This window comes from Homo sapiens, chromosome 1, assembly GCF_000001405.40.
Source record: "Homo sapiens chromosome 1, GRCh38.p14 Primary Assembly".
NCBI classification, from domain to species: domain Eukaryota; kingdom Metazoa; phylum Chordata; class Mammalia; order Primates; family Hominidae; genus Homo; species Homo sapiens.
In genome coordinates this window covers 244788241-244814045 of record NC_000001.11, presented here as the reverse complement: position 1 = coordinate 244814045, position 25805 = coordinate 244788241, and the positions used below count along the sequence as shown (strand labels likewise).

The 25805-nt window shown below is 45.9% G+C and overlaps 1 long non-coding RNA gene across 1 annotated transcript in view, besides 1 other annotated feature; it reads left to right on the top strand.

Annotated features, from left to right (window-relative positions):
* Positions 4426-4926: an enhancer, noted in NCBI's record as "H3K27ac hESC enhancer chr1:244972422-244972922 (GRCh37/hg19 assembly coordinates)". NCBI's record gives its function as "activates a minimal SCP1, AML or CMV promoter by ChIP-STARR-seq in naive H9 embryonic stem cells {active_cell/tissue: H9 hESC(naive)}" and the evidence as "EXISTENCE:reporter gene assay evidence [ECO:0000049][PMID:30033119]".
* The window catches only part of LOC107985372 (uncharacterized), a 32508-nt gene continuing 16976 nt past the window's right edge, over positions 10274-25805 (top strand). Inside the window, exon 1 of the long non-coding RNA XR_001738568.1 lies at positions 10274-10413. This is a non-coding gene — a long non-coding RNA (uncharacterized LOC107985372). The remainder of the gene's footprint in view (positions 10414-25805) is intronic.

Genomic DNA, 25805 nt, shown 5'->3' with positions numbered 1-25805 from the left:
GGTCAGGAGTTTGAGACCAGCCTGGCCAACATGGTGAAACCCCGTCTCTACTAAAAATACAAAAATTAGCTGGGCGTGGTGGCATGCACCTGTATTCCCAGCTACTTATGAGGCTGAGGCAGGAGAATCACTTGAACCCAGGACGTAGAGGTTGCAGTGAGCCGAGATAAAGAAAAAAAAACTCGATCGTCTGCTATGTGCCTAGCACTCCTCTAAGGGTACAGCAGTGGACAAGACAGACACACTCAGTCCCCCCTTTCAGGAAGCTGATGGGCGATGGGCAAAGGCAAGTAAAAGTTTTGAGATGATGTGTTGTGCTATGAAATGCCACCATCTTAGGCTGGCGCTCTCTCTTTTTCTCCGTTAGATTTTCACTCTGGGAGAAGCTCGGTACCATGTTGTAAGCAGTCCTATGGAGAGCCCAGTGGCAAGGCCTCCTGCCAGTAATCAGCAATAAACCTGAGCCTGCTGACAACCATGCCAGTGAGCTTGGGAGCTGGTCCTCCACCCCGGCAAGCCTGAAGAGGACCCTATCCCTGTGACAGACCTTGAGCAGGAGCTGTCCAGCTTAGCTGCTCCAGGATTCCCAACCCTCAGAGACTGTGTGCGATGATAAATGCTTGTTGTTTTAAGCTGCTAAATTTGGATGTAATTTGTTCGGCAACATTGAAGAACTACAGTTCTTGACTCTCTTGTTCAATTGTCCTATCCACATCCTTGGTAACCTTCCATCAGTGGAATGAGCCTGGACCTTCTCGTGAGCTCAGAACCAGGCTGCTGAGTATTGCTGGAAAATTTCACAAAACGGGGCATGTCGTTTTCATGTCCACCCATGTCATTTGGATCCTCGACACTGCTTCACAGTGTTTTCTAGTGAACTCTCTCATTTTCAAATATTCTCCTTTTTTTTTCTTAATTTTTAAATTTTTCTTTTTGAGTCAGAGTCTTGCTCTATCACTCAGGATGGAGTGCAATGGTGCGATCTTGGCTCACTGCAGCCTCCACCTCCTGGGTTCAAGCGATTCTCCTGCCTCAGCTTCCCGAGTAGCTGGAATTACAGGTGTGTGCCACCATACCTGGCCTCAAGTGAGCCTCCCATCTCAGCCTCCCGAAGTGTTGGGATTACAGGCGTGAGCCACCATGCCTGGGCTGTTTTTTTTTGTTTGTTTGTTTTTTGTTTTTTGTTTTTTTGACAAGGTCTTGTTCTGTTGCCTAGGCTGGAGTGTGCAGTAACCCGATCATAGCTCACTGAAACCTTGAATTCCTGGGCTCAAGCAATCCTCTCACCTCAGCTTTCTGACTGGCTGGGACCACAGGTATGCACCACCACACGTGGGTAGTTTAAAAAAATTTCTTGGCCAGGCGTGGTGGCTCACGCCTGTAATCCCAGCATTTTGGGAGGCCGCGGTGGGTGGATCATGAGGTTGGGAGTTTGAGACCAGCCTGGTCCACATGGTGAAACCCCATCTCTACTAAAAATACAAAAATTGGCTGGGCGTGGTGGCAGGTGCCTGTAATCTCAGCTACTCGGGAAGCTGAGGCAGGAAAATCTCTTGAACCTGGGAGGCGGAGGTTGCAGTGAGCCAAGATCATGCCATTACACTCCAGCCTGGGCGACAGAGCAAGACTCCATAAAAAAAAAAAAAAAATTTGTAGAGACAGTCTCATCATGTTGCTCAGGCTGGTTGCAAACTCCTGGGCTCAAGTGATCCTCTCACGTTGGCCTCCTGAGTCACTGGGACTACAGGCCTGTGCCACCACACCTGGCTCCACTGTTTCTGGCCTCAGGCCTCTTTGCCTCTACTCCATTTTTTTTTTTTGAGATGGAGTCTCCCTCCGTCACCCAGGCTGGAGTGCAGTGGTGTGATCTCGGTTCGCTGCAACCTCCACCTCCTGGGTCTAAGCGATTCTCATGCCTCAGCCTCCCAAGTAGCTGGGATTACAGGCGTGTGCCACCACACCCAGCTAATTTTTGTATTTTTAGTAGAGATGAGGTTTCACTATGCTGGCTAGGCTGGTCTCGAACTCCTGACCTCAAGTGATTCATCTGCCTTGGCCTCCCAAAGTGTTGGGATTACAGGCATGAGCCACCATGGCCGGCCTCACTTCCACTCTTAGTGGATGTCCTCACCATCCAGTCAAGAGGGAAAAGAAAAGCCATCTGCCAGGAGTATGCCCCATCACTCACCTTTGACTACCTGTGCCCTCACTCACTTTCTTTCTTTCTTTTTTTTTTGAGACAGGGTCTCCCTCTTTCACCCAGGCTGGAGTGCAGTGGTGCAATCATAGCTCACTGCAGCCTCAAACTCCTGGGCTCAAGGAATCCTCCCACCTCAGCCTCCCAAGTAGCTGGAACTACATCACGCAAAACCAGTTTGTATTTTGCTTGTGTAGAGACAGTGTCTTGCTATGGTGCAGGCTGGTCTCAAACTCCTGGTCTCAACCTATCCTTCCACCTCGGCCTCCTTGACCACTTTCTTCTGTACCAGAGGAAGAGCTGTTATCAAATTTAAGGCCAGTTTCTTCTTCTGGAACCTCCCTCCCATCGCTTCCTACTTTCTCGGGCTCCCTCCTTTTTCAAAAACTTTCCTGTCTGCTGGCTCGCCTTATCAGGCTATAACCAAGTTCTAGTCTCTCCAGTGTGAAAAATAAAATACCATCTTTCAACCTCACATCCTCCCCTGTCTACTTCCTTGCCCCTTCTCCCCTCCAGAGTTAAATTTCTTGAACAAGTTGTCTGTTGCCTTCCTCACTGTCTTGAGAACCTGACCTCTACTTACTCCTTCATCCGTTCAGCCTGGCCTCTGCCTCCATAGGCCACCCAAACTACCCACGCAGAGGTTACTGGTGGTTTCCGTGATGAGAAATCCACAGGCTACTGATTGTTATAGAAACATAAAAAAAGAACTTCATTATGGGAAATTTCAAACATACCTATAGGTGGAAGGAACAGTGCAGTGAATTCCCACGTGTTCCATGCCCGGTGTCCACAGTCACAACTCACAGCCAATCTTGTTGCCACCATCTCCACCTGCTCCCTCTCACCTCACCCTGGATAAGTTTAATGAAAACTCCAGATAGCATATCATTTATCCCAAAATATTTCAGTATGTGTTTCAAAAACAGAAGAATTCTCCAAGGCCCATTTCAAGTCTTTATTTTGACCAACCCTATCTGACAATTTGGGTTTATTTCTTTCTTGAAACACTCACGTCCCTAAACTTTGATGACACCATTTTTTCTTACTCTTCTTGGTTGCTCTCCAGGCTGTAGCTGACTTTTTAAAAAAAATTTTTTGAGACAACGTCTCGCTCTGTCGTCCAGGCAGGAGGGCTGTGGTGCCATCTCGGTTCACTGCAACCTCCGCCTCCTGGGTTCAAGCGATTCTCCTGCCTCAGTCTCCCGAGTAGCTGGGATTACAGGCGTCCGCCACCACACCCGGCTAATTTTTGTATTTTTAGTAGAGCAACAGGGTTTCACCATTTTGGGCAGGCTGGTCTCAAACTCTGGACCTTAGGTGATCCACCCGCCTCGGCCTCCCAAAGGGCGTGGATTACAGTCGTGAGGCTCCACGCCCGGCCCTTAGTTGAGCTTTTCTTTGTCAGCTTTTCCTCCTCGAGGCTTTGCCAGGGCCCTGACCTTCCTTTTCACACTGCCCACCCTTCCCAAAGCTGCAGCCGCCATCCACAGGCCCGTGGCTTCCGGCGTCAGCCTGTGGCCTCATCCCCTTTCCTGAACGCCAGACGCTGCTGCCAAACTCCCTGCCCGGCGACTCTCCCCGCGCCTCTCACAGGCGCTTCGACTTGACATCTTTCAAACTCAGCGCATCCATCGTCTTTGCCACCAAACCTCCCTCTCTGCTGTGTTCCTCCTACTCTGGCCTCATTTCCGTTCGTCAAAATTCCTGAGATTTTAATGTAGTTTACGCCAGTTGCATACATTTAAATGTGGGATAAAATTTAATTTTTTTTTTATTTTGGAAAATTTCAAAAATGCCCCTGATAAAGGAAATAACATAGTGAGTGCTCAAACATTCTTGATCCAGCCTCAACACCCAACGTTTGGCTCACCTTATTTCATCTGTTCCCCTCCACTCTTTTTTTTGCTAGAATATTTTAAAGCAAATAATATACATTGTATTACTTTACCATAAATAGTTTAGTAGCTATCTCTGAGATATATGGGCATGAAAAACAATAACTTAAGTCTGGGCACTGTTGCTCCTGCCTGTAATCCCAAATCCCAGCGCTTTGCGAGGCTGAGAAGGGAGGGTTGCCTGAGGCCACGAGTTTGAGACCAGCCTGGCCAACATAGAGAGATGAGATCCTGTCTCTACAAAAAAATAATTTAAAAAGAGAGAGAGAGGCCAGGCGTGGTGGCTGACGCCTGTAATCCCAGCACTTTGGGAGGCCAAGGCGGGTGGATGAGGTCAGGAGTTCGAGACCAGCCTGACCAACATGGTGAAACCCCGTCTCTACTAAAAATACAAAAATGAGGCCGGGTGCGGTGGCTCACGTCTGTAATCCCAGCACTTTGGGAGGCCGAGGCAGCCGGATCATGAGGTCAGGAGATCGAGACCATCCTGGCTAACAAGGTGAAACCCCGTCTTTACTAAAAATACAGAAAATTAGACAGGCGTGGTAGCTGGCGCCTGTAGTCCTAGCTACTCGGGAGGCTGAGGCAGGAGAATGGTGTGAACCTGGGAGGAGGAGCTTGCAGTGAGCCGAGATCGCGCCACTGCACTCCAGCTGGGGCGACAGACCGAGACTCCGTCTCAAAAAAAAAAAAAAAAAAAAAAATTAGCCGGGCGTGGTGGTGTGCACCTGTAATCCCAGCTACTCAGGAGGCTGAGGCAGGAGAATCGCTTGAACCCAGCAGGCAGAGGTTGCAGTGAGCAGAGATCATGCCATTGCACTCCAGCCTGGGCAACAAGAGCAAGGCTCTGTCTCAAAAAAAAAAAGAGAGAGAGAGAGAAATAACTTCGATGTTATTATTATATCTAATAAAATTACCAATATGTTCACATTTCCCTGTACATCTCTAAAATGTCTTTTTATAATTGCTTCATTCAAATTAGGACCCAGATAAGTGCCACAAAGTGGCTTTGGTTGCAGCCTCTTTTAAGCCTATTTTATTTTATTTTAATTTGAGATGAAGTCTCTGTTGCCCAGGTTGGAGTGCAGTGGCACGATCTCGGCTCACTGCAACCTCTGCCTCCTGGGTTCAAGTGATTCTCCTTCCTCAGCCTCCTGAGTAGCTGGGATTATAGGCATGTGCTACCATACCCGGCTGATTTTTGTATTTTTAGTAGAGATGGGGTTTTACCATGTTGGCCAGGCTGGTCTCCAACTCCTGACCTCAGGTGATCCACCCACCTCAGCCTCCCAAAGTGCTGGGATTACAGGTGCGAGCCACTGCACCCAGCCTTTTAAGCCTATTTTAATCACTCCTCTTACCTGCCATTCCCCAATGTCATTTATTTATTTATTTATTTTTGAGACAGAGTCTTGCTCTGTTGTCCAGGCTGGAGAGCAGTGGCACAATCTCGGCTCACTGCAACCTCCATCTCCCGGGTTCAAGTGATTCTCCTGCCTCAGCCTCCTGAGTAGCTGGAATTACAGGTGCCCATCACGCCTGGCTAATTTTTGTATTTTTAGTAGAGATGGGGTTTCACCATGTTGGCTAGACTGGTCTCGAACTCCTGACCTCAGGTGATTCGCCCACCTCGCCTCCCAAAGTGCTGAGATTACAGGCGTGAGCCACCATGCCTTGCCCCATGTCATTTATTTTTGAAGAAACCAGGTCATGCCTGTAGAATTTCCCTACGTCGGATTCAGCTGACTGATTTCTGTTGTGTCATTGTGTTTTTCCTCTATTGTCCATATTTCCCATAAACTGGTAGGCAGCGCTAGAAGCTTGATTCCATTCAGATCTAATTTTGTTGGTGAGCACATGTCATAGAGGTGCCATCTACTTCCTGTTCCTCACTCTCAAAAACTGGTCAGTGGGTTGAGGTGGTGTCAGTCTGATCCCCCATTACAGTTTCTCTATAACCTTTTGCCTGATGTTTTAGTAGCTGTTGATGATTGTTGCCTAAATACATTATTTCATTAGTTGCTACCATTACTTCTGGATTTACTAACTGGATTTTCATTTAAAAAGAACTTTCCTGGCTGGGCATGGTGGCTCATGCCTGTAACCCCAGCACTTTGGGAGGCTGAGGCGGGTAGATCACCTGAGGTCAGGAGTTCAAGATCAGCCTGACCAACATGGAGAAATCTCGTCTGTACTAAAAATACAAAATTAGCTGGGCATGGCGGTGCATGCCTGTAATCCCAGCTACTCGGGAAGCTGAGGCAGGAGAATCGCGTGAACCCGGGAGGCAGAGGTTCCAGTGAGCCAAGATCGCGCCATTGCACTCCAGCCTGGGCAACAAAGTGAGACTCCGTCTCAAAAAAAATAAGTAAATAAAAATAAAGACCTTTCCTTCATTAACTCTTTGGTTACTTTGAAACACAGACTCCTGGGCATGTGGCTCATGCCTGTAATCCCAGTGTTTTGGAGGCTGAGGTGGGAGAATCACTTGAAGCCAGGAGCTTGAGACCAGCCTGGGCAACATAATAAGACCCCATCTCTCTAAAAAGAGGAAAGAAAGAAAAAGAGAGAAAGAAGGAAGGAAGGGAGGAAGGAAGGAAGGGGAGCAAGCAAGGGAGAGAAAGAAAAAGAAGAAAGAAAGAAAAAGAAAGAAGAAAGAAAGAAAAGAACTTAGAAAGAAAAGAAAAGAAAACAAAGAAAGATGCAGAGTATATAGGAAGACACAGGATAAATGCTTGACTCACTCCTTTCATTTGCCAATTTTCAGCATAATGTGTTGGTCCCTCAGCAACCTCCAAAGACAACAATGAGGGATTTTTCATGGGGGTGGAGAGGACTTGATATAATGATATATCATTACATTGTATATAAATTTAATATAAATTTTTATGTATATTTTATATAAATTTTATAATTTTGTTGTTTTCCATCCATTATAGTGATTATTCTTTTTGATGCTGAAATTATTCCATTTTTTACTTCATCCAATTAGTTCCTGTATCTTTGATAAGACTCAAGAGGTCTTTAATAGTTTCCTTCCTTCTTTGATAAGATTCAAGAGGTCTTTAATAGTTTCCTTCCTTCCTTTTTTTTTCTATTTATTTAAATTTTAAAAACTTGTTGTTTCCCCCCAGTGGCTCCTTATGGACCCAAGCTCTCTTACTTTCTGACACAAAGGCTATCCCTGGAACATCTTGTACATTTTCTTTTCTTTTTTCCTTTTTTTTTTTTTTTTGAGATGGAGTCTCACCCGGTCACCCAGGCTGGAGTGTGATCTCGGCTCACTGCAACCTCCGCCTCCCGCATTCAAGTGATTCTCCTGCCTCAGTCTCCCAAGTAGCTGGGATTACAGGCCTGCACCACCATGCCTCGCCAATTTTTTGTATCTTTAGTAGAGACGGGGTTTCACCATGTTGGCCAGGTTGGTCTCAAACTCCTGACTTCGTGATCTGCCCACCTCAGCCTCCTGCAGTGCTGGGATTACAGGCGTGAGCCACCACACCCGGCCTCTCCTAGTGGATATAGTATTTGGAACCCAAGAACCAGGCCCCAGGAGAGCTCACTGCTACTGAGAGCCATTTCGTCTAGGCTCTTTCAGTGGGCAGAGGTAGAAAAAAGTTTCAAAAATCATGAATTCATATTTATATTCAAATTAGGATATTTACAATCTAGGCACTAAGAATAGTCATTGCTAGTAGGTGTCATTGCTTTTTTTTTTTTCTCGAGATGGAGTCTCACTCTGTCACCCAGGCTGGAGTGCTGTGGCGCAATCTCAGCTCACTGCAAACTCCTGGCCTCCCGGGTTCAAGAGATTCTCTTGCCTCTGCCTCCCGAGTAGCTGGGATTACAGCTGCCCTCCACCACTCCCGGCTAATTTTCGTATTTTTTGGTAGAGATGGAGTTTCACCATGTTGGCCAGGCTGGTCTTGAACTCCTGACCTCAAGTGATCTGCTCGCCTTAACCTCCCAAAGTGCTGAGATTACAGGTGTGAGCCACCGCGCCCGGCCAGGTGTCATCGCTTCTTGTTCTTTTTCGGTAGAGTTACCGTCATTAAATGAAACACACATTAATGGGTTGCAGGGGTCTCACTTTCATGTTCTTTTCCATTCTGCTGTGTTATTTGTCCATAATAACCCTACAACACATATAATATTTAAGTCTAGAACTTAATGGGACAACTTGGGTGAATCTCAGAAATAGAAGGTTGAATGAAAAGAAAGGAGACAGAAAAATGTGTACACTGTAGGTTACCATTTATCCAAAGTTAAAAAACAGGCCGGGCGAGGTGGCTTACGCCTGTAATCCCAGCACTTTGGGAGGTTGTGGCAGGCGGATCCCTTGAGGTTAGGAGTTGGAGACCAGCCTGGCTAACATGGTGAAACCCCAACTCTACTAAAAACACAAAAATTAGCCGGGCATGGTGGCGGGCGCCTGTCATCCCAGCTACTTGGGAGGCTGAGGCAGGAGAATCGCTTGATCCTGGGAGGCCAGGAGGTTGCAGTGAGCCGAGATTGCGCCATTGCACTCCAGCCTGGGCGACAGAGTGAGACTTCATCTTAAGAAAAAAAAAAAAAGCAATGACACCTACTAGCAATGCCTATCCTTAGTGCCTAGATTGTAAATGTCCTAATTTGAATATTAATATGAATTCATGATTTTTGAAACTTTTTTTCTACCTCTGCCCAGGAGGCAGGAGAATCGCTTGAATCTGGGAGGCAGAGGTTGCAGTGAGCCAAGATTACACCATTGCACTCCAGCCTGGGTGACAGAATGAGACTCTGTCTCAGGAAAACAAAACAAAACAAAACAAAGAAAACCTGAAAAAACAAAAACAAAAACAAGTCCGAAATTCAAAAACAAAAATCTATGCCCCAGAAGTTGGAAGGCGGGGTCAGTGAACGGGAGGGCCACAGTGCTGGGCGCCGGGAATGTTCTTTCTGTGGGTGTTGATCGCAGATGCGTGCTCACTTTGTAAAAGGTCATCTAGCTGTACACTTATGATTTGGGCACTGTTCCCTGTGTATACTTTATTAAAGATGTACTCTAGGAAGATTGAACCTGTGTTAAATCCCAGTCCCTAATCTAAGCGTAGTCTCTTCATAATTTTGTTTTGTTTTGTTTGGAGATGGAGTCTCGCCCTGTTGCCCAGGCTGGAGTGCAGCGGCACGATCTTGTCTCACTGCAACCTCCACCTCCTGGGTTCAAGCAGTTCTCCTGCCTCAGCCTCCCGAGTCACTGGGATTACAGGCGAGCACCAACTATGCCCGGCTAATTTTTGTATTTTTGGTAGAGATGGGGTTTCGCTGTGTTGGCCAGGTTGGTCTTGAACTCCTGACCTCAAGTGATCTGCCCACCTTGGCCTCCCAAAGTGTTGGGATTACAGGCGTGAGCCACCACGTGCGGCCTCATAATCTATTTTTTGGGAGTCATCTTTTTGCTTTATTTTGGTTCGAAGAGCTATACAGTCATATGCCACATAGCAATGTTCCTGTCAAGGATGGACCAAATATACAAGATTATATTATTATAAGATTATAATCTTAGAATCCCATAAGATTATAATACTGTATTTTTACTGTACCTTCTCTATGTTCAGATATATTTAGATACACAGATACTTACCATTGTGTTACGATTGCCTACAGTATTCGGTAAAGTAACATGCTGTACGGGTTTGTAGCCTAGGAGCAATAGGCTACACTATACAGACTAGGTGTGTAGTAGGAGGCTGTACCATCTAGGTGTGTGTAAGTACACTCTGTGATGTTCACACAACTACGAAATCGCTGAATGACGCATTTTCCAGAATGTATCTCCATTCTTAAGTGACACATGACTGTACACTTTGGGAGGCCAAGGCAGGAGGATTGCTTGAGCCCAAGAGTTGGAGACCAGCCTGGGCAACATGGCAAAACGCCATCTCTTAAAAAAAAAATAGAAAAATTAGCTAAGTGTGATGGCATGCACCTGTAGTCCCAGCTACTCAGGAGGCTGATGTGGGAAGATCACCTGAGCCCGGGGAGGTTGAGGGTGCCGTGAGTTGTAACCACGCCACTGCACTCCAGCCTGGGCAATGAGTGAGACTCTGTCTTAAAGAAAAAAATAAAAAGAATTAAATCATGGATTCTATCTTGTAGGAGTTTAAAATCAATTTTTGCCATAATCTTCATCATTGGGAAGTGGTCACTGCATTCTCTCATCCATCCATGGGAAGTGGTCACTGCATTCTCTCATCCATCCATTCATTCCTCAGCATTTGTGGAGAATCCACCACCTCTCTGTTGAGAGGAACAGCATTTCTGAAACCTGGAGTAAAGGTGAGAGCTACATTTTACTTACCATTTACAGGCCAGGAATGACACTAAGTTTTATATATCTTTTTTTTTTTTTTTTTGAGATGGAGTTTCGCTCTTGTTGTCCAGGCTGCAGTGCAATAATGCAATCTCGGCTCACTGCAACCTCCCCCTCCCAGGTTCAAAAGATTCTCTTGCCTCAGCCCCTCTAGTAGCTGGGATTACAGGCATGAGCCACCACTCCTGGCTAATTTTGTATTTTTAGTAGAGACGGGGTTTCACCATGGTTGGGCTGGTCTCGAACTCCCGACCTCAGTGATCTGCCCGCCTCAGACTCCCCAAGGGCTGGGATTACAAGCGTGAGCCACCACACCCGGCCTAAGTTTTATATATCTTTTCTCATTTAACTCTCACAACAACCTTATGAGGTTAATATTTATTATCCTTATCATCCATATTTAATGGAAGAGAGAAGGGAGGCTTAGGGAGGTTAAATAATTTGTCCACACTCACATGAGAGTGGCTGAACTAGGAGGCTGCCTCGGTGCTGTAGAGGCCAGGGCCCCTTTGCTTAACTGCTGCATAAGCTTTGGGAGAGGACGTGGTGGAGGAGGCGTCCTGGACGCAGCAGTGGGCCTCTGGGACCTGAGGCGGCAGGGGCAAGAAGCAGCCTGGACTTTCGGGACCCTATGGGGGTACTTAACAGAGCCAGAATGAAATGTGTTCCCAAAGCTCTGGGGAGTGTCCTTGAATGAGAAAGGCTGGGTTTTGGCTCTGGAGATGAGGCATGGGGTCCATAGAGAGAACCAGGGCTTAGCAAAAAGCCATGGTGTCCACCGAGCGAGGATTCTTTCGCTGCAGCTCTCCACATGTGGTCCTGGCGGGTCCTCCTGTCCTCTTTTCTTTCTTCACCATCAAGCAGCAGTCCACCTCGGCACCACCCACATGCTATCACCGCAGCAGGAAGGATCTGTGATTCCAGGGCGCCACTAATGAACTAGTACGCGAAATCTCACAAAATAGTCATGTGTATACACACATACACACATACTGTGTGTATCACAGCATCACACTTTTGGGCCGGCTGGAAAGGCACCAAAATGAAATAATACCAATCAGAGCTAAAGGTTAGGATTTACTGCTGTGTTATTTATTGCAGCCTTGTAGAAAAAACCAAAAACTCAAAGCATCTTATTTTCTCAGCCTGTGAACAATTCATAAACGTTTTGTTTCCTCAGCAATACAAAGCATCTGAGGTCTGTGATTTATTAACAGGAAGAAGTTGTTCTTCCCCTTTGAGAAAAGATAACGATTACAGGAGAGCTGCTTTCTCACCTGAGAGGTAGGGCCGTTGAGCCTCGCCTAAGCTCGTATCACTAAGATTCTGTGACCCGCAGCCCTTTCCACACCACAGGTAAGGAAAGACGGCTCTTAGATTACTAGTCGTGACTGGCCTCACCACCCCTCCCCAGCCTGGGCCCTGCAGAGGCCGTCTCTCACTCTGTGTTGGCCCTCGAAGGCTGGCCCGTCGCTGTGTGGTTCTCAGTCCATCCATAGCCCAGTGACACCTTTCAGGGAGGCTCCAAATAGCTCTCACGTGTTTCTCTCCCTCCGCCAGGGGGCTATCGTCTCATTAGGAGACCACCACAAAAACTTTTCACCTCCATTCTCCACACACTAAGTCTTGAGGTTTTTGGGCTGAGCACTGTGGCTCATGCCTGTAATCCTAGCACTTTGGGAGGCCAAGGCAGGCAGATCACTTGAAGTCAGGGGTTCGAGACCAGCCTGACCAACATGGTGAAACCCCTGTCTCTACTAAAAATACAAAAATCAGCTGGACGTGGTGGCGGGCACCTGTAATCCCAGCTACTCAGGAGGCTGAGGCAGGAGAATCGCTTGAACCCAGGAGATGGAGCTTGCAGTGAGCCAAGATTGTGCCATTGCACTCCAGCCTGGGCAACAGAGCAAGACTTCCTCAAAAATAAAAAAAAAAGTTTTAAGGTTCTTTTTACCGTGGTTTATGAGGCTTTGTTCTAATAACTCAAATAAATTGAAGCTTATCTTAAAAGAGGATAAAACTACGGTATTTTCAGTGTATACCCTGTATGTACACATCACATGTTGGACCCGACTTTCCAAATACGATTCGCCAGCATTGGCACTCACATATGTAGCTCATGATCAAAGGGCGATGAATAATGTTGCTTCATCCCGAGACTCAGGTGGCGTTACTGAAGCATTTAGCATCCCCCTTTCATCAGTGCCAGTGCCGCAGATGCTGCGGGCAACAAATTGTGCGCCCTAGTGGTCCACACGAGTATTTCTCATTACAATATTAATTGTAAAGTGTAAAAACCAAGTTACAAAAACCCACCGCGTTTTTATGTTGCTGGGGGAAGATTCCACAAATTTCTGCCATCTACTTTCTTTATACTCTTTTAAAGCTTTTTTTTTTTGGAAAATAAAACATAAATACAGAAAATCATACAAAAATGAATGTATAGCGTAATGAAGGCAAACACCCTTGTAACTACCATCCAGGTCAAGGAATAGAACTTTGCAAGCCACTGAGAAGACCATCCACGGGCCCCACCCCTATCACGTCCCAACCACCACCGCCGCCAAGAAACCACGAAGACAATCACTTGGTCGTGTTTCTTTATAGTGAACACCTGGGACTCTATGGTTGTCCAGTTAAAAAAGTCGTGGCTGGGCGTGGTGGCTCATGCCTGTAATCTCAACACTTTGGGAGGCTGAGGCAGAGGTGGGAGACCAGCCTGAGCACCATAACAAGACCCCATCTCTATTTTTTGAAAATTAGTTATGATTTTAAGTCTCCGAAGCTACAAGTTTCCCCTCTCTTTCTTATTCTGACAATTTATCTGTTGAAAAACCTGAATCCTTTGACCTGTGAAATTTCCCACAATCTGGATGTTGCTGATGAAGTATTCTCGGTGGAATTCAATGTGTTCTGGATTTCCTACGATGTAGCAGCTGGATCCCAAGGTATGATGAGACTTAGGTTCAGACTCTATGGCAAGACTAAGTCACTACTGGATCTTGAATCAGGAAGCACAAAACGCAGGTCAACTCTGTTGCTATGTTAATAGTCATGGATGCCTGATGCCTAAAGCCATTAATCCACTGACAATTACAAAATTGTAATACTCTAATTCTACCGCTTTTTTTTTCATTTGTTAGTTGCAATACCTTTTTTTTTTTTTTTTTTTTTGAGATGGAGTCTCGCTCTGTTGCTAGGCTGGATTGCAGTGGCATGATCTCAGCTCACTGCACCTCCAACTCCTGGGTTCAAGCGATTCTCCTGCCTCAGCCTCCCGAGTACCTGGGACTACAGGTGTGTGCCACCAAACCTGGCTAATTTTTGTATTTTTAGTAGAGACGGGGTTTCACCATGTTGGCTAGGATGGTTTCGATCTCCTGACCTCGTGATCCACCCACCTCAGCCTCCCAAAGTGCTGGGATTACAAGCTTGAGCCAACGCGCCCGCCGGTCTATTAGTTGCAATACTTTCATAAAGAGATGCCTCCTCTCATCTACCATTAGGTTACCCAGTGGTACAATCCATGTAGGAAAGTTGGGAAAAGTACTAGATTCTTTTCTCTCGTAAGTTTTCTAAGATAAGGAATGGGTCCCCCACCCTCCTCTCCCGGGAAGAGAATTGGTTCCCTAGCATCCTCCAAATGTGATGATTAAAAATGTTTGAATATAATTAAGAACTTAGGGATTTAAACATATTTGATCATTTTCAGTCCCTTGGAATTATTGAAGCATAAATTGTGTCATCTTCAGTAAGTGGATGCCTTTTCCAACTGGCTCCTGAATCCTTCTTACATGGCCCTAGTAGTCTTCGGTAGTTTTGTTGCTATCTGATGTGACTAGATGATATGACAAAGGTCAAAATGTATATTTTCTGCCCCAAACTGGGAATCAGTCATTTCTTCATGAAGCATTTGTTTCTTTTAGTGGGAAATGGTATTTGAAGACGGTACTCTGGGCATAAAGATGCTGGCTGCTACTGTGCTGGTCGTTGCTTTGCTTTTGGGCCTTCTCAGTGAAGATTTTGCATATATAGACACATGAAGAGAATAGAATAGAAAATACCTCATGCATTCACACTGATACTTTACATTCAGATTCAGAACAGCAAGGAATTTTACCTAACCTCTACATCTTGAGAATCCTGTATACACATTCTTCCACGTTGAAAATATGATTCTCAAAACCAAAATCTAGAATGGAATCAGAATACCTCATCTTGCGCATTTGATGTGTCCGCATTACTCATAACAGTGTCGGAGCTGCAATACTAATATTACCATCACTAATATAATTACTAAAAAGGTTTTTTAAAAAGCTTTTTTTCTGTGTGCTTGCTCACACATTTTTAAATGTGTGTGCTTGCTCACACATTTTTAAATGTGTGTGCTTGTTTTTTTGTTTTTTGTTTTTTTTGAGAGGGGGTCTCGCTCTGTCGCCCAGGCTGGAGTGCAGTGGTGCCATCTCGGCTCACCGCAACCTCTGTCTCCTGGGTTCAAGCGATCCTCCCACCTCAGCCTCCCGAGTAGCTGGGATTACAGGCATGCACCACCACACCGGTTAATTTTTGGATTTTTAGTAGAGACATGGTTTCACCATGCTGGCTAGGCTGATCTCAAACTCCTGACTTCAAGGTGATCCACCCACCTCGGCCTCCCAAAGTGCTGGGATTACAGGTGTGAGCCACCACACCCAGCCTTTAAATGTATTTGTAAATGTTCTTGTCCCATTTTTAAAAATGGCAGTACTCAGCTGGGTGCAGTGGCTTACACATGTAATCCCAGGACTTTGGGAGGCTGAGGTGGGTGGACTGCTTGAGTGCAGGAATTTGAGACCAGCTGGATAACATAATGGCATTCCATCTTAAAAAAAAAATTGCCGGGCATGGTGGCATGCACTTGTAGTCCCAGCTACTTGGGAGGCTGAGGTGGGAGGATTGTTTGAGCCTGGAAGGTTGAGGCTACAGTGAACTGTGATTGTGCCACTGCACTCCAGCCTTGGTGACAAAGTGAGACCTTGTCTGAAAAATATTAAATGAAAAGTGAAAAAATGGCACTACTATACACTATCAGAGCATGTGGTCATTACAAAGTATACTCACTCCCTTTTAACTCTTAGTCTTAATTCCACAAGTAACTACACATTTAATAGTTACCGCTAGTTTTTATTTTGATGTCTGAATAGAGCAAAAGTTCTATTCAGGTCAGGTTCATTTTCTTTGTAAAAAGAGGAGGGAAAAACAAGACCAGTTGTGCCCATGTTGAGACGGTTTACACATAGTAGATAACAATGGCATTGTATGATGCTACTTAATACATTTCTTGAGCTCTTTTGCACATATATGTTGGAGAATTTCACATTGATGACCCACCATCCCATCTTTGTGGTTGCTGTTAATGGTGGTTAGGACAGTAGGGAAAAAGGTCTACTTTCTCCCTTCTGTTACGCTAGACCAGTTTCTCAACCTCAGCACTTTTGGCATGTGGGGCCGGATAATTCTTTGTGGTGGGGGTGCTGTCTGTGCCTTGTAGGATGTGTAGCAGCGTCCCTGGACTCTACTCACTAGATGCCAGTAGCACTCTTCCCCCTAGTCGTGACAACCAAAAATATCTCCAGACATTTCTAAATGTCCCCTGGGGACAAAATTGCCCCTGGCTGAGAACCCTGCACCCGGTTGCTGTTTTGACGCTCATAGATTGGACACGTTGCAGTTTTAAGCAGTTATCCCTGAGTAAAAGGGACTATTACAAGGTTCAAAGTCCAGACTAATGCGCTCTCATCTTCAAGCAATATTAACATTCCTTGACAGGAAATTTGTAGCAGAGAGCTAACTTTGTAACAGTTTTCTTTTTTTTTTTTTTTTGAGATGGAGTCTTGCTCTGTCATCCAGGCTGGAGTGCAGTGGCGCGATCTCGGCTCACTGCAACCTCGGCCTCCTGGGTTCAAATGATTCTCCTGCCTCAGCCTCCGAGTAGCTGGGATTACAGGCTCGCACCACCATGCCTGGCTAATTTTTGTATTTTTAGTAGAGACAGGGTTTCATCATGTTGGCCAGGCTGGTCTCGAACTCTTGACCTCAACTGATCCGGCTGCCTTGGCCTCCCAAAGTGCTGGTATTACAGGGATGAGCCACTGTGTCCTGCCAACGATGATCTTTATTATAATAATAGCTAATAGTATAATAATTAACGTAGTATAACATATTCACGCAATTCACAAAACAGTTTTCACTTATACTATTTATTGAACTAAGTGGGGATTCTTAAATCTTCCTACTCTAAAGATGAGAAAGCCAAAGCCCAAAGCAGTGAAGTGTCTTGCACAAGGTCAGCATAACAGTAAGCAGCAGAGTGAACGACAGGTTCTTGATCAGGCTCTCATCTTCATTAACTGTGTCTTGGATTATTGTCTGTCCTTAATGCACAAGAATAGACACACACACATGCAAGTTCATGCAGACAACCTTTTTCTTGTTGTTGCTAACCTTTTAGAATGGCTCTTACAATTTCCATGTAATTACATTTTATTCCAACAATAAGCCAGGAATCCACCATTAAGGGAGGTTCACGATGTTATTGCATATCCTACCACCAGGTGTCGCCATCGTATACTCACACGTGTTTCTTCCATTGGTGAATTCCTAATTCACTACATGCTCCAAGGAGTGATCAGCTAATTTATTTATTTTTTGGAGACAGGGTCTCGCTATGTTGCCCATGCTGGAGTGCAGTGGGTATTCACAGGTGTGACCACAGCGCACTACAGCCTTGAACTCCTCGGCTCAACAGATCCTCCTGCCTCGGCCATCCTGGTAGCTGGGACTACAGGTGTGCACCACTGTGGCCAGCCAGCTGATTTTAAGTAAGTGTATCCTACAGCAGGAAACAGTCCAAAGAGAAGAATGAGGATTAAAAGGTGAAGAGGACCAGGTGCAGTGACTTATGCCTGTAATCCCAGAACTTTGGGAGGCCAAGGCAGGTGGATCACATGAGCAGGAGTTCAAGACCAGCCTGGCCAACATGGTGAAACCTCATCTCTACAGTCTAAGAGCAATGTCTAGGCCAGGCGCGGTGGCTCGTGTCTGTAATCCCAGAACTTTGGGAGGCTGAGGCGGGTGGATCACGTGGTTAAGAGATCGAGACCATGCTGGCCAACATGGTGAAACCCCGTCTCTACTAAAAATACAAAAATTAGCTGAGTGTGGTGGCACACGCCTGTAGTCCCAGCTACTCGGGAGGCTGAGGCAGGAGAATCACTTGAACGCGGGAGGGGGAGGTTGCAGTGAGCTGAGATTGCACCACTGCACTCCAGCCTGGGGACAGAGCAAGACTCCATCTCAAAAAAAAAAAAAAAAAAAAGAGCACTGTCTAACCCTTTGAATGTGAGGACATTTTTGCTTCTCTATGGTGGCGGATATCTTGAAAATTATAATTATGCATGGACCTTTTTTTTTTTTTTTTTGGAGACAGAGTCTCACTCTGTCGCCCAGTCTGGAGTAGAGTGGGGTGATCTCGGCTCACTCTAGCCTCCGCCTCCCAGGTTCCAGCAATCTTCCCACCTCAGCCTCCTGAGTAGCTGGGACTACAGGCATGTACCACCATGCCCAGCTAATTTTCATATTTATTTTTTAGTAGAGACAGGGTTTCTCCATGTTGGCCAGGCTGGTCTTGAACTCCTGACCTCAGGTGATCCACCTGCCTCGGCCTCCCAAAGTGCTGGGATTATGCGTGAGCCACTGCACCCAGCAGCATTAGTGTATTTTATGTGTGGCTCAAGACAATTCTTCTTCTTCCAATGTGGCCCAGGGAAGCCAAAATGCTGGACACCTGTGGAAGGCATCTTAGCATCAAGGCCAAATGACTTTTCAGATAGTAAGGGCTGTGCTGCAGGCTCTGAGATGGAGTTTGATGGGCAGGATGTTTATTAAGGAGTGCCCTTGCGATCAGCACCTATAGAAGAGAGGAGGCAGAAACAGGAGAGGGCAGAGGGAGAAGCTAAGCTGTGATGTTGGCCAATGACAGCCTTGGCCAACCCCCGAGGAGCTCTGCCACAAATATGGCCCTTCAGAGTCTTCTTGAGTTGGGCTGAGATGGCTAGACCTTTATACTTCTGCATTTATGGGCAGTGGCTGTAGGCCACCCTAGACAAGGTGTGAATATCTGAAAGTGAATATTGAGGGCCGGGTGCAGTGGCTCACGGGGATCATGCAGCGCACGTCTGTAATCCCAGCACTTTGAGAGGCCAAGGTGAGAGGATTGCTTGAGGCCGGGAGTTTGAGACCAGCCTGGGGAACATAGCAAGACACTGTCTTTACAAAAAAAATTTAAAAATTAGCCAGGTGTGATGGCAGGTGCCCATAGTCCCAGCTACTTGGGAGGCTGAGGCAGAAGAATCCCTTGAGCTAAGGAAGTTGAGGTTGCAGTGGGCTATGATGGCCTCATTGCGCTCCAGTCTGGGTAACAGAGTGAGACCCTGTCTCAAAAAAAGAAAAAAAAAAGGAAGTGAATATTGAAATATTAATACTAAATCAAAATGGCATGCTTTGAGTATTACTGACTTTTTAAAATTTTTTATTTTTTTTGAGATGGAGTCTCGCTCTGTCACCCAGCCTGGAGTGCAGTGGTGCGATCTTGGCTCACTGCAACCTCTGCCTCCCAGGTTCAAGCAATTCTCTTGTCTCAGCCTCCTGAGTAGCTGGGATTACAGGCATGTGCCACCATGCCCAGCTAATGTTTGTATTTTTAGTAGAGACGGGGTTTCACCAAGTTGGTCAGGCTGATCTTTAACTCCTGACCTCAGGTGATCCACCCATCTCGGCCTCCCAAAGTGATGGGATTACAGGAATGAGTCACCGTGCCTGGCCCACATTTTTATGCTAGTAAGAGAGAAGAGTGATCACAGAATCATTGATCAGTCACAGTTCGTGGAGGCCATAAACATAAATAACATGGAAGTAGGCTCTTTGGCCTTCCAAAGGTCAAGACTAAACCAAGCCCAGTTAGCAGACTGGGGCCAAATGCTGAAACTAAAGTCCGATTTCCATGCATATCTAACCATTTGACCGGAAATCCCATCTCTAGGAGTTGATTCTAACTGGTGGACATATGGTGACCGTGTCCAGCATCCATCCTTCCCTTGGGGAATTTTCACCTTGGGCTGGCAGAACCCAGAGTTCCATGGTTCTCAAGCAGCTGGGACGACAAATCCTCCTTTGAAGGGTGGTCAGGTGGGGGCATCACAGTGTTGCCCATTGGATACAAGAAGTTGTCATCATCGCGGGAAGGGAGCTATGTGGGTGGATTGGAGTGACAGCAACAGAGGGTCGGGGAAAAGAAGGGGCACCACAGGGGAAGGGGTTGGGTGTGGAGGGACGGGAGGAGGGCGAGGGCAGGGTGTGTGAGAGGAGGCTACGGAAGAGGAACAGTCACGTTCTCATTCTGTCTCCCTCCTGTCTTGCTCATTCATGTGGAGGGCGGAGGGTGAACTGAGTTGGGAAGAAGGAGGGAAGAGGGGGAAATTGTCACACAGTTTGTCTCTAAGGCTGTCATGTCCTCAATGGCTCCAGCTGTTGCTACCCCTCGATGAAATCTGACTTTGTCACTGGCTAGTCACCAGAAACCAGACCTCCAGGTGGCTCCCTGGCTTCTCCCCTGCCTCCCCAGTTCCCATCTCTCGCTGCTCAACACCATGAGTAAATGCTATCGTGTTTTGTTGCATCTTCCCCACTTGAGTTGATTGTATTGAATCAGTCACGTCTTGGAGCTCGTACTGATCTTAGAAGTAGCCATGGTTTCTGCTGTGTTGTTTTAGGTTGTACATAGTCATATATACCCCTCTTGGGGCTCAAAGATAAAGGTACACGTTGGAGAAAGTGAAAATGAACTGTAAGCATTTATTGCTGTTTTGAAAAGAACTTGTTTGTTTTAAAATTTGTTGTGAAGATAATATAGGCCGGGTGCAGTGGCTCATGCCTGTAATCCCAGCACTTTGGGAGGCTGAGGTGGGGAGTCACCTGAGGCCAGGAGATCGAGACCAGCCTGGCTAACACGGTGAAACCCCGTCTCTACTAAAAATACAAAAATCAGATGGGTGCGGTGGCAGGCGCCTGAAATCCCAACTACTGGGAAGGCTGAGGCAGGAGAATCGCTTGAACCCGGGAGGCGGAGCTTGCAGTGGGCCAAGATCGTGCCGCTGCACTCCAGCCTGGACAACAGAGCAAGACTCTGTCTCAAAAAACAAAAACAAAAACAAAAACAAAAACAAATACAAAAAAAACAACCTTCTTAGCTTTACAAGATTATCTGAAAGTGACCGGCCAGGCACGGTGGCTCACGCCTGTAATCCCAGCACTTTGGGAGGCAGAGGCGGGTGGATCACGAGGTCAGGAAATCGAGACCATCCTGGCCAACATGGTGAAACCCCGTCTCTACTAAAAATACAAAAAATTAGCCGGGCGCGGTGGCGGGCGCCTGTAGTCCCAGCTACTTGGGAGGCTGAGGCAGGAGAATGGCGTGAACCCGGGAGGCGGAGCTTGCAGTGAGCCAAGATGGCGCCACTGCACTCCAGCCTGGGCGACAGAGCGAGACTCCGTCTCAAAAAAAAAAAAAAAAAAAAAAAAAGATGTCTTTGGTGAATAGATATTATTAATTTTAATATTGTCATATCTATTAATCTTTTTTTTTAATAGTTGTATTATTTACACCTTAAGAAATCCTTCCCTGGCCAGACGTGGTGGCTCATGCTTATAATCCCAGCACTTTGGGAAGCTGAGGTAGGAGATTGCTGGAGCCCAGGAGTTCAAGACCAGCCTGGGCAACATAGTGAGACTCTGTCTGTTTAAATTCCCACTTTGACTTCATTCACTCACCAATCATCGATGCTGGTCACATTGAGAAGAGGGCTTCTATTGTAGTTGTACTTACTTTAAAAGAGATCCTGGCTGGGTGCCGTGGCTCACGCCTGTAATCCAGTACTTTGGGAGGCCAAGGCAGGCAGATAACCTGAGGTCTGGAGTTCAAGACCAGCCTTATTAGGTTAGAATATCAAATTAGCCATTAGATATTAAAACCTATTAGCCATATTAGGTTAGAATATCAAATATTCTAACCTAAAACATAAAGTGAATATTGTTTTTGCTGATCTCTGAATGCAAGGCCAAGGTCTTCTCTTTGAGTATGGATCAGTTGAGTGGAATTCTGTGTCCTTTCTTGTGTAAACACACTGATAATTCATCATGGACAGTATCCAGTCTTGGTTACGTAAGTGGAACAAGAATTTAGACAGATGCTAAACAATCTGAGTGCCAAATCCTTTTAGGTTATCACAATTTTTTCTTTTTTAATTTTTTTTATCAAGATGGTGTCTCATTCTGTTGACCAGGCTGGAGTACAGTGGCACCATCTCGGTTCACTGCAACCTCCCCTTCCAGGGTTCAAGAGATTCTCCTCTCTCAGCCTCCTGAATAGCTGGGATTACAGGCGCCCGCCACCATGCTCGGCTAATTTTTGTATTTTTAGTAGAGAAGGGGTTTCACCATGTTGGCCAGGCTGGTCTCGAACTCCTGACCTCAGGTGATCTGCCCACCTCGGCCTCCCAAAGTGCTGGGATTACAGGTGTGAGCCACTACGCCCGGCCTATTTGTGTTTTTGATTATACTTTTTGAGTGAATGTGAACTGATATCTCATGGTGGTTTTAATTTGCATTTTCCTAATGGGGCATTTTTCAGTATCTTTTTTTTAAGATGGAGTCTCATTATGTTGTCCAGGCTGATCTCAAATTCCCAGGCTCAAGCGATCCTCCCACCTCAGCTTCCTGAGTAGCTGAGATTGCAGGTGCACCACTGTGGCCGCTGCGCGTCTTTTCATGTGCTTATTGGCCGCTTGTATATTTCTTTGGAGAAATGTCTCTTCAGATTTTTGACTACTTTAAGATTCTGCTATTTGTCTTTCTCTTTTTTTTCAGGTCTGGTGAACAGAAAGTAGTATTATTTTTCTTTTTGAGTTGTAATAGTTCTTTATGTTTTGGATACAAGTCCTTTATCAGCTATATGATGTGCCAATATATTCTCCCAGTCTGTGGACTGGCTTTTTCACTTTCTTTTTAATTTATTTTAATATATTTTTTATTTTTTTTGAGACAGGGTCTCTCTCTGTTGTCCAGGCTGGAGTGCAGTGTCACGATCATAGCTCACCGCAGCCTTGACCTCCAGGGCTCAAGTCATCCTCCCCTGCCTCAGCTTCCAGTGTAGCTGGGACCATAGGTGCATGACATCACGCTCTGCTGCTTTTTGTATTTTTTTGGAAGAGATAGGGTTTCACCATGTGGCCCAGGCTGGTCTTGAACTCCTGGGCTCCAGCAATCCACCCACTTTGGCCTCCCAAAGTGTTGGCATTACAGGCATGAGTCACCCCACCCAGTCTTTTATTTTTAATTTTTGAGTCAGAGTCTTGCTCTGTTACCCAGGCTGGAGTGCAGTGGCTCCATCATGGCCCACTGCAGCCTTAACCTCCTGGTCTCAAGCAATCCTCCTGCCTTGACCTCCGGAAGAGCTGGGATTACTTGAGCATTGTAATGAGCCACTGTGCCCAGCCATTTTCACTTTCTTGATGGCATCTTTTGAAGCAGAAAAGTTTCTAACTTTGATGAAGTCCAATTTATCTACTGTTTTCTTTGTCACTTGTGCTTTTGGTGTCATAGCTAAGAAGGCTTTGCCCAACCTAAAGGCATGAAGATTTCTCCTGTGTTTTCTCCTATAAGTTTTGTAGGTTGTGCTTTTATATTTAGGCCTATGATCCATTTGGAGTTTTTTGTGTATGGTGTAAGGAAGAGGACGTCCAGTTGTCTTTGTACAATTTGTTGAAAGGATTATTCTTTCCCATTGAAAGGTCTTAGCACTCTTGTCAAAAAACAATTGACCATAGAAGTGAGGATTTATTTCTGAGCACTCCATTCAACTCCATTCAACTCCATTCATCTGTATGTCTGTCCTTCTGTCCATTCCACACTGTCTTGATTTCTGAACTCTGTACTCTTTTGAAATTGAGAAGTGTGAATCTTCCAACTTTGTTCTTCTTTTTCAAGATTGTTTTGGCTATTCTGGGTCCCTTGCATTTCTGTATGAATTCTAAGATCAGCTTGTCAAAAAAGTCAGCTGGGATTTTTTTTTTCTTCACAATCTCAGCTGAGATTTTGATAGGAATTATATTGAATCTGTAGGTTAATGTGGGGAGTATCGCCATGTTAACAATATTGATTCTTCCCATCCATAATGTGGGATGTCTATTTATTTAGTTCATCTTTGATTTCTTCCAACAATATGTTGTAATTTTCAGAGTGTAAGTTTTGTATTTATTTTGTTACATTCATTCCTGAGTATTTTATTCTTTTCAATGCAATTATAAATAGAACTGTTTTCTTAAGTTTACATTTGTACTGTTCATTGCTAGTATATAGAAATACAGTTGATTTTTGTATATTAACCTTGTGCCCTGCAACTGAACCTATTTATTAATTCCAATAATAATTTAGTAGCTTCCTTAGGATTTTCTATATGTAAGACTGTGTCATTTCAAATATAGTATTGCTTGCTCTTTGCCAGCCAGACGCCTTTCATCATTGTCTTGCCTAATTGTCCTCCCATCAGATATTTAGGGCTGTTGTAATCATCTGGATTGGCTGAGTCCTTGACATTCCGAATGTTACACATCTAGAGCCATGGTTAGAGGTTTGGGCTTCTGAGCTAAGCAGAGCTTTCCTTTTGACAAGCTGACAGCCCCTACCAGAGTGAGGATATCAGCTCTTCTCCCAGGCTCTGCTAATTAACGTTTCAGTGGAGGCGTGATATGTGGTCAGTTTCCTCCACAGTCAAAGCAGGTCTCACTCCTTTGAATCCCCAAAGGCACATACACCCTGCAGCTCACGCGTGAGGGTCTCTCCACCTCTGCCATTGCCTTCAGCCGCCTCAGTCTTCTTTTTCAATACCCTCTGCTAATCCCCGCCACTCAACAGTTCTCCCAGGACCAAGCTCCTTTTCTCTGAATACTTAACAACACACTTGAACAGTTCTAAAACTTTTGACAGTAGAGAAATGTGGGTGTATTCTCATTTTGAACTCACAGGAAAGATGCAGGATCGGCGAGGTGCTGAGGCAGCGAAGTGTCAATCATGCATGTGAACACACACACACACACACACTCACACACAGAGTCGGATTTCCTGACAGAGGGTAGAAACTCTCCATGACTGTCATGGGAGGGAGCAGAGACTTTTCTCTTCTCTCATGTCACTTTTTGAACAGAACCCACTGCTGTGACATGTGTAGGCAGCAGGTCTCATCCCGGGAACAGCCCGACGGCCTGGGAGCCGGCATTTCTGAGCCACTCGCAAGCAGAGCAGGCAGGCAGGCCGGCCCACAGGTGCGGGGCCCACCTGAGGAAGCAGGAAGGGCAGGAGGGCCGCCTTCCCCTTCACTACTTGGGAATCCTGCCATCCGTCCAGCAGAGTGGCCGGGAATACACCAACGGTGGTGATTTTTCCAGCACTGACAATTGCTGGGGTGAGCCGTGGGCTGCTCTGAATTCAGCTCTCCTGCCGAATAGATTCAATCGAGGTCTCCAAGTGCCGACGCTCAGCGCAGAGCAGCTCCGTTCCACGTCAGTCACCCACACCGCTCTGGGCTCTTTCTCAGTGACGGGGAGGAATGAGTGGAGAGTCTGCTGATGCACTTGGTTCCTTGCTGTCCACGGTGAGAGTTGATTTTCCTGGCCAATCTTTGCAGTTGAACTGATCACACTGCAATCTGTAGTTTGACAGGGTGGTAGGCTTTGCATCCAATTTGTACATAAAATGATAATATTACGAGCACTAGGTGGGGGTGCTTAACAGTTCAGAAAAAAAGGACTTTCACTTCCCTCCTCAAATGTTTACCCCTCAGGCCCTGAGAGGTTGATTCTTCTCACAGGGAGTAAGCACAGGAGTCACCTCCACCTCCCCCAAACCACCTCCTTCCACCATAAGTGGAATGGCACTTCCTGCCCCCTTGGCATAGGATCTGCTGCAGGTTATGGTGGGCCTCCATTTTCCATTAAAGTCCAGGAGTAAAACCATATACGGTTGCATAAATTAAAAGTCACTCTTGAATTCAGTGCTAATAAAACTTTCTGCAATGATGGAAATATTCTGTAGCTGCATCGTCTAATATGGTGGTCACCAGCCATATGTGGCTACTGAGCACTTGAAATGTGAAGTGCTCATTTCATTCTGAAAGAACTGAATTTTAAATTTTATTTCTTTTTTTTTTGGTGGGCGGGGAGCGGTTTGAGACAGAGCCTCGCTCTGTCACCCAGGCTGGAGTGCAGTG